The sequence below is a fragment of the Homo sapiens genome, chromosome 7, assembly GCF_000001405.40.
Source record: "Homo sapiens chromosome 7, GRCh38.p14 Primary Assembly".
NCBI lineage: Eukaryota > Metazoa > Chordata > Mammalia > Primates > Hominidae > Homo > Homo sapiens.
The window spans coordinates 155,572,150-155,581,588 of record NC_000007.14 but is presented as its reverse complement, the minus strand read 5'-3'; the positions used below and the strand labels follow the sequence as shown (position 1 = coordinate 155,581,588).

The window sequence follows — 9,439 nt, the reverse complement described above, 5'->3', positions numbered from 1 at the left end:
CCCACCACTGCTCTTGCTCCCCGTTGCTGCCGGGAAGCTGTGACTCCTGCCCTGGGAAGCTGAGGCATCAGATTCTTTGCTTTGGAATTTCTGACCCTCCCTCTGTGTGGCCTCTTCCCACCCACAGGTTGTATCAGGATGTAGGGCTCTGCAGGTGCCAGCACGCTGGAACTCATGCTCGGGTTGGCGGGTGGTTGGAGGAGTGTGGGCTGTGCTTTTTCATCCCCGCATCCCCAGCACCTAGCATGGAGAAGGGGTGTGATCAATATCTGTCGGAAATGGAACAAGCCTCGGGATAAACAGCCTCATCCTGGGATGTGCCAGACAGTGGTCATTGTTCTAAAGGCTCGGTGAGTGCAGTCAGGTTATCCTGACCTTGAAAGTTACTTACCCAGTGCAGAAAAGCAGACTTTCCTTCCTGAGTCTCCTCCCAGAACAATAGGCAGGTGCCCGGTGGTGCAGTTAGCAGAAGGCAGCTCTGCGGTTCCCCAGGAGGGACCCATCTCTCTCCCCAACTTAGCATTTTTATCCTCACCAGCTCCTGGACATCTGGCCAGAATGACACCCAGGAATTTTCATTTTGCCCAGTATTCAGGCCAACTGTTTGGGGTCATGGGCTCTAATATGCCTCCAGACAAGCTTGCTGGAGTCTTTCCTTGGGTGGACAACTCAGGTTGAATGAAAGAGGCTTTCATTTAGCCTGTTCCCTGTGACTACATACACAGCAGAATGTGAGCAGATACTACCCCAGGAAAGTGACCGCAGAGGGCAGGTGTGGTCCTGGGCTCTCCTCTGATGGAGAGAGGACCCTGGCTTGTGTCTGTGTGTTGATCTCTGTGTTACACAGTGGTTTTGGTACAGAATCCTAAGTACCCCTTGCACCACCCTGCAGATGGAAAGCATTGTTAATCCACTTACAGGTGAGCAAATGGAGGACAGTAGAGACTTGGTGACTCATCCTTGGCCACACAGCCTCCACGTGGGTGAAAATGAGTCTTGAATCTTGGTCTTCTAATGCCAGATATGCCTCCCCCATGAAACCACATGCACAGAATAACCATGATGATGACTGAAAATGTCATCACCATGTGCCTGGGCCTCTTTGGAAGGGGTAGAGACTGGCTTTATATTCAGAAACTTGAGTACATGAGCAATGCACTTGTTTGACACGTTTATTAAACTTTCCCCATGCATGAATTCCTGTTCTCGACCCTGGAAGGCAGCTGGTCCCAGTGACTCTTACCAAGCAGGTGCAGGAGCCCCAGGTCTGCCTGGAGGAGTCATCTCCATGGGAGTTTGGGTGTCTGAGGCTTTGCTGGGATGGGAGCGCAGACTGCAGACCCCTCACCATCCTGGGAATCAGCCTTCCAGTCTCTTCCTCTCTGTGCTGCAGAGGCTTAGGACTTCCCCAGAGTCCCCAGCCCGCCACATAACCTGATTCTGTTTTCCCAGGCTGTTCCTAAACATGCCCGGGACACAGGTGTCCCCTTGGGCTACATCCCAAGCATCCCTGGGAGGAAGGTGCACTGGATCTGGCTCTACTTGGAACTTGGGAATGGGAAAATGCAGAGAGCACAGAGTGCCTTCGCACTCTGCCACCTGCTCTGCTGCAGAGGCTGAAGCTCCATGTCACGGAGCTTGGCAAAGTCATCACGTGCCACCCAGCTCCACAAACATAGTCGAGAATGGCAGTGGCTGGGGGCTCTCCATGGAGCCCCCTACACCAGGCCTTGTCATGGGACTGATGGGCACCTCTTGGCTGCCACCTTACTTCCTGGCCCTGTTCTGCCCTGGCCTCCTCGGTCTCTCTCCTCTTCAAACCGCCTTTCAGAGGCTACCGATCTTTCCTCCGCCCACTTTTGCCATTCAGCAGAGGCCCCGCCATTCCCAGGCAAGCTCGGGTTTCCATGTGGTCTGCTGCATGAACAGTCACCACAGCGTGCATCGCACCATCGCTGTAAGCATCATGAGATTCACAGAACACTTATGCTGGGCCAAGGACGGTACCAAGGATGCTACTACCTGCAATGAGATTCACAGAACACTTATGCTGGGCCAAGGACGGTACCAAGGATGCTACTACCTGCAATGAGATTCACAGAACACTTATGCTGGGCCAAGGACGGTACCAAGGATGCTACTACCTGCAATGAGATTCACAGAACACTTATGCTGGGCCAAGGACGGTACCAAGGATGCTACTACCTGCAATGAGATTCACAGAACACTTATGCTGGGCCAAGGACGGTACCAAGGATGCTACTACCTGCAACACGTGAGAACCCCTACAGCAGCCCCGGAAGACAGAGCCTATTTTTTTTTTTTTTGAGAAAGAGTCTCGCTGTATCACCCAGGAGTACAGTGGCATGATCTCAGCTCACTGCAATCCCAGGTTCAAGCAATTCTCCTGTCTCAGCCTCCCAAGTACCTGGGATTACAGGCATGCACCACAACACCCAGTTAATTTTTGTGCTTTTAGTAGAGACAGGGTTTCCCCATGTTAGCCAGGCTGATCTCAAACTCCCAGCATCAAGTGATTCACCTGCCTGGGCCTCCCAAGGTGCTAAGATGACAGGCGTGAGCCACCGTGCATGGCCAGATGGAGGCTATTCTCATCCTTGTATATTAGTCATGGTTCTCCAGAGACAGAACCAACAGGATGGATGGATAGAGACAGAGATGTAGACATATGGGTACACAGATAGCTACACAGATAGACAGGGATTTCATTCCATGGATACATAGATATCTGTGTAGATAGACAGGGATTTCGCTCCGTGGTTACATAGATATCTACGTAGATACATAGATATCTACATAGATAGGGATTTCATTCCATGGGTATATAGATATCTATGTAGATAGATGGGGATTTTTTCCCATGGATACGTAGATATCTATGTAGATAGACAGGGATGTCATTCTGTGGATACGTAGATATCTAGTTAGATAGACAGGGGTTTAGATATCTATGTAGATAGACAGGGGTTTAGTTATGTGACTCCACAGATAGCTCTGTAGATAGATGGAGATATATGAGGGGGTTCTTAGGGTAATTGTGAGGCTGAGGAGTCCCCGGACCAGCCATCTGCATGCTGGAGACCCAGGGAAGCCCACGGCACAGCTCAGGCCATGTCTGAAGGCCTCAGACCCAGGGAAGCTGATGGTATGATTCTCAGTCCAAGGCCCAAGGCCTGAGAGCCCTGAGGGCTGCTGGTGGGGGTCCCAGAGCCCGAGAGCCAGAGAGCCTGGAGTGTGAGAGCCCAGGAGAGGGAGCGCGAGCAATATGCCTGCGCTCGGCCTTGTGTGCTGTGGGCCCGCAGCGGCTGGGTGGCACCGGCCCAGGCTGGGGGCTGAGCATCCTTCCTCAGTCGCTGATTCCAACGCCAGCCTCTCCCGGAAATGCCCTCCAGACACACCCACACCTGAAGACACACCACACCAGCTACCCGGGCCTGCCTTCCCCAGTCAAGTCATCACCTAAAGTTCACCTTCACATCCTGTTTTACAGATTGGGGAAACTGAGTCTCAGAGGGGCTAAGTCACGGACCCAGTTGGTCCCTAACAGGAGTAGGCAGGCCTGTGTGGCCAGGAGGTTGGAGCCAGGTGCTGCTCCTCCCTCCGTCCTCACTGCAGCCCGGGAGCAGGTAGAGCCAGGTGCTGCTCCCCACTCCGTCCTCACTGCAGCCCGGGAGCAGGTAGAGCCAGGTGCTGCTCCCCACTCCGTCCTCACTGCAGCCCGGGAGCAGGTCAGAACCAGGTGCTGCTCCCCGCTCCATCCTCACTGCAGCCCGGGAGCAGGTCAGAGGTGTCAGACCAGCCTCGTCGGGGACTGGGGCTCATGCTTGTCTTGCTGGCAGGTGGGCTTGAGGGGAGGGATGTCGAGGGGACAGGCCAGCGTTTTCCTCAGAGCTGGGTGCCCTGCCCGGCCCCACCAGGCCCCGGAGTCACTATCGGCAGACAGAAGGGACCATGGCTATTTAAACTCTACGCTCATCCCGGCCCAAACGATGCTGCGCTGATGCTCAGGTAAAGGGTTGGCTAAGAAGGGGGACAGGCCACCCACAGTGCCACATGGTGTGGCGTGGATGCACCTGTCATTCTGAGGACCCCGCCCCTCCTCAGCCCTGCACAGCCTCGTCATGCTGCCCCAAGCAGAGGAAGCAGCGGCCAGAGTCCCGAAGGAGCCGTCCAGGGGCTTCAGTGGATGCTGGGATGGGGTCTGTCTGGTGCTGGGATGGGGTCTGTCTGGGAAGTACAGAGGTTCCCCTGGCCTTCCTGTGGTGTTTCAGCCTGGACCTGCCCAGGGGGCTGAAGCTTGGAATGGCCACCAGGGTAGGTGCTCCACAGCGCTGGGCAGGACTGAGCCTGTCTCTGGGGGAGGACCACAGACAATCAGAGGACAGCGCAGGCCTAAAAGTCTGGGCCAGCAGATGGGGAAGAGTCAGTGACACCAATGCCACACCCAAGGTGACACCAGTGCCTCCAGGTAGCGTCAACCGTGTGACTCACTTGACACAGGCCATGGACTTGGAGTGCCCGCCCAGGGTGACCCCGGTGAATGGCGGAGTTTTGTAGAATGCAAGCCCAGCCCAGCAGTCCACGCCTTCTTGCTAAGCTGCTCTGTACACCGAATGAGTGGGCTGGAGTCGCTCAGCTCCTTCCGCATTTAGTCCTCTCTGATTTCCTTTGGCCACAGAATAAAACAATCTGCCAAAGTGTTTTTCTTCTATTTTTTTCTGTTTTGTGCAACAGAAAAGCCCAGAGGAGAAATGAGGATGCAAAGAGAAAGAAAAAAACCCCAACCAGAGAGCTGCAAGGATATCAGGAAGAGGGAGCGTCCGGGGACGGAGCAGAGCGCGCTTTTCCGAACGCCTTACTCCGGGCTGGGGCTGCTTTCTGCAAGCCCGTGCGGTGCACGTGAGGAGGCTTTCCTTGCGGTGGTGAAATCAAACACACCTAAGGCGTGAGTCCTCCAGACTTTCCTCACCTGGGCAGCTTGGCCCCGGCCACCTGTGCCTCGCCCGGAGAAACTCCAAGTAAGTGTTCCTGACTTCAAGGGTCGGAGGTCTGTTTGCTCAGGGCTGGTTGGTAAAATCGAACGGAGAATGAAAGCTAGAGCTTCTGAAGCACATGAAGCAGGAGGGAAGCTTTAGACTCCCCACTCGAAGGAGAGGGCTCCCCTGTCCGCGGGAAGAAAGTCTTTTTTCTTAAGCTCTGTCAGTAGCTCAAAATCAGGCCACGTTTTAGTCGGCTTCACGTTTGCACCACGGCTTTCATCTACAACTGTTTGTTTTTCCTAGAGTTAAAAATACCTTTCTTTTTATTTTATATTTGTTTGTAAATAGGAAATATACTCAAAAAAAGGTACAAAATGTCTATAGCAAAAATTCATTTCCCTTTTTTTGTTTCCGTTTTGAAACTGCCACCCAGTTAGCATCCCCACAGGTTTCACCCACTTACGCCTAGTGTTCCATTAGTGGAACACTAAGCTTGTGGGACTTACTTATAGCCTACTGCTCAAGGTCATTGCCAAGGTCTGATTTTTCACAAAAAAATATTTGCGACCTCTGGCATAAATGGGTTAAGGGTAGGGTCCCAACAAGACGGCCCTTGCTTCAGATGCCACCCCCAAGTGAGGTCCCCAGGCGACCTGCACCTCTGACCAACTTGCTACAAATCCAGGGGCTCCCCTGATGACCTCAGGTTTTATAATTTACTGGAACACTCCCAGAGCCTTCGAAAGTGTTGCACTTGAATCTCGCTTTGTTGCCCAGGCTGGAATGCAGTGGCACGATCTTGGCTCACTGCAACCTCTGCCTCCTGGGTTCAAGCGATTCTCCCACCTCAGCCTCTTGAGGAGCTGCGATTACAGGCCCCCGCCATCATGCCCAGCTAATTTTTGTATTTTTATGGAGACGGGGTTTCACTATGTTGGCCAGGCTGGTCTTGAACTCCTGACCTCAGGTGATCCACCCGCCTTGGCCTCTGAAAGTGCTGGGATTACAGGCATGAGCCACTGTGCCTGGCCACGATCCCATTTTCATAATAAAGAACACACATCAGGCCAGCCAAATGAAGAGACACATGGGGTGAGGGCTGGTTGGGTCCTGAATGCAGAGCTTCCATGTCCTGCCCTGTGGATCAGCACACATCACCTTCCAGGCACATCTGGACCCTCCACGGAGCCTCAGCATCAGAGCTTTTATTGGCATCTCGTTCCATAAATACGACTGGTTGAGTGATCAGCCAAGCTGGGGAAAACTCAGTCTCTGCCTCCTCCATTGCCTCCCAGAGGTCAGCAGGTTGGGCCGATAGCCCTGGGCCCAAAGTCCTAGCCCTCTAATCATATGATTGGGTTTGCTAGTGACCACCTCCCATCCTGCAGGTATCCAGGGACCATGCTGGCTCACCTCATTAGTATAAGCTACCAGGGCCCACTGTGAGTAATGTGAATAATGAAGACAGTTTAACCACTTGGGAAGTTCCCAGGACTTAGAGTGCTGGGACAAAGGCCAGATTTTGTATTATCCAAGGGCCCTCAGCCACTCAGTTTTTCTGCCCAGAGGAGACTGATCTTGGTATCCTTCCAGAAAGATTTTATTTTACTCAAAGAGTAGCATATTACATTACAGATGCTCCTTAACTTAGGATGACATCACATCCCAATAAGCCCGTCATAAGTTGGAAGTATTTTAAGTCAAAATGCATCTAATACACCCAACCAAGGGAACATCGCAGCTTAGCCTCGCCTATCTTAACCCTGCTCAGAACACTCACATCAGCCCACAGCTGGCAACATCGCTGGGCAGCGCAGCCCACTGCAGAGGGCAGGTTGCTCACCCTCGTGGTCTCAGGGCTGACTGGGGGCTGCGGCTGCCCCTGCCCAGGTTTGAGAGAGTTCGTGATGCATATACTAGCCTGGGAAAGATCAAATCTCAAAATTTGAAGTATGGTTTCTATAGACTGCATGTCGCTTTCACACCCTCATAAAGTCAAAAAATTACAAGTCAAACCATCACAAGTCAAGGACCTGCTATATACACACTGTTTGGATTCTTTTTTTTTTAAACTTAAAAATACGTTTTGGAGATTATCCTATAGCATTCCATAAAGAAATTTCCCGGCTGGGCGCGGTGGCTCACGCCTGTAATCCCAGCACTTTGGGAGGCTGAGGTGGGTGGATCACGAGGTCAGGAGATCGAGACCATCCTGGCTAACACGGTGAAACCCTGTCTCTACTAAAAATACAAAGAAAAATTAGCCGGGCAAGGTGGCAGGCGCCTGTAGTCCCAGCTACTTGGGAGGCTGAGGCAGGAGGATGGCGTGAACCCGGGAGGTGGAGCTTGCAGTGAGTTGAGATTGCGCCACTGCACTCCAGCCTGGGCGACAGAGCGAGACTCCGTCTCAAAAAAAAAAAAAAAAAAAAAAGGAAATTTCCCTTTCTTTTCCCTGATGCAGTAGTTCATTGCCCCACACTTTAACACGTTTCCTCCTGAAGGCAGATTGTTTTTTATCTCTGGCTGTTTCAAACAATGCTGCAATGAATAACTTCAGACATGAACCACTGTATACCTGTGCGAGTGTATGCGTAGGGTGAATTCCCGCAAGAGCGTGCGAGTGTATGCGTGGGGTGAATTCCCGCAGGAGCGTGCGAGTGTATGCGTGGGGTGAATTCCCGCAGGAGCGTGCGAGTGTATGCGTGGGGTGAATTCCCGCAGGAGCGTGCGAGTGTATGCGTGGGGTGAATTCCCGCAGGAGCGTGCGAGTGTATGCGTGGGGTGAATTCCCGCAGGAGCGTGTGAGTGTATGCGTGGGGTGAATTCCCGCAGGAGCGTGCGAGTGTATGCGTGGGGTGAATTCCCGCAGGAGCGTGCGAGTGTATGCGTGGGGTGAATTCCCGCAGGAGCGTGCGAGTGTATGCGTGGGGTGAATTCCCGCAGGAGCGTGCGAGTGTATGCGTGGGGTGAATTCCCGCAGGAGTGTGCGAGTGTATGTGTGGGGTGAATTCCTGCAGGAGGAATCACTGAGTCACCCAGGATGTGTGCTTAGAACTTAAATGATTATTTGACTATTACCGGGTTACCCTCGCTGGAGGCGGTACCCAATTACACTCCCACAAGTGATATGAGACTGATGTTTCATCAGACCACTACCAACTCCTTGTGTTATCAAATTCTTAATTTTGCTATTCTTTTTGCTCACATCCTTACTCAGTTTTCTTTATTTTTGAGATGGAGTTTTGCTCTTGTTGCCCAGGCTAGAGTGCAATGGCTCAATCTCGATTCATTGCAACCTCCTGGGTTCAAGCGATTCTCCCACCTCAGCCTCCTGAGTAGCTGGGATTACAGGCACCTGCCACCATACCCGGTTACTTGTTGTATTTTTAGTAGAGACAGGGTTTCACTATGTTAGCCAGCTGGTCTTGAACTCCTGACCCCGGGTGATCCGCCTGCCTCGGCCTCCCTCAAGTGTAGGGATTACAGGTGTGAGCCACCATGCCCGGCCAGTCTTCCCACTTTTAACAAACTTTTCAGAGGCCTCACCAACAACCTCTGCTTACATCTCACTGGCCAGAGCTTCATCTCCTAGCCATACTCAGGAGCAAGGTGACCAGGAACTGAGCACATTGCTGCCCCGGCTAAAAATAAAACGATGCCACTAACCATGTGAGCGAGCATACTTCCGCAAATGACTACATCTTCCTCAGGCTCGGTTTCCTATCTACAGGTTGGGGATATTGAGTGAATTAAAGATGAATCCCTGCATAAAGCACAGATCCTGGCACCCAGCAAGCTGTCCATAAAGATCTCACAAGGCTGTTGTTTATGGAGCCCATTCTTTGGGCCCTGGTAAATGACATAGCTTGGGGAGGGGAGCAAGTGACATGAAGAAGTGGCGGGGGCTGGGGAGATATGCAGAGAATGGAGCAAATAAACCTTTCCACAGGAGCCCGGTTTCTTGCTGTCAGAGAAGGGCCTACTAATGTTGGAAAGGGAGAAAATGAGAAAGAACTGGAGGTGGCAAGACTGGGACTGGGGTCTCAGTGTCAACTGACAGGTTCATTAAAATGTACACATGGACCCAGAAACAGCGAGACATGCACATGTGTGTTGGGGTGAGCGTGTCTGTCTATATGGATATATACAGATATTTCCTCTTTCTGTCCCCTGAGAGCCTGGGAGCCATGACACCCCCACAGCAATGAACACAGTGAGGACCCCGAGCTTGGTTTCCAGATGCTGTTCTGCACTAAAAGGTGCCAGGGTCCCCAGAAGGATGCAGAGTCCATGATGGGACAGTGGTTACCAGGAGATCCTGGGGCATCTTCCCTCCCTTGCCTTCCTCCCTCCTTCCTTCCTCCTTCCCTCCTTCCTCTCTTCCTCCCTCCTTTCTTCCTTCCTCCCTCCTTTCTTCCTTCCTCCCTCCCTCCATCTTT

At 52.4% G+C, this 9,439-nt stretch overlaps 1 annotated feature.

The window, feature by feature from the left end:
* Positions 938-997: an enhancer, noted in NCBI's record as "active region_26898". NCBI's record gives its function as "activates an Ori minimal core promoter by ATAC-STARR-seq in GM12878 lymphoblastoid cells {active_cell/tissue: GM12878}" and the evidence as "EXISTENCE:reporter gene assay evidence [ECO:0000049][PMID:35858748]".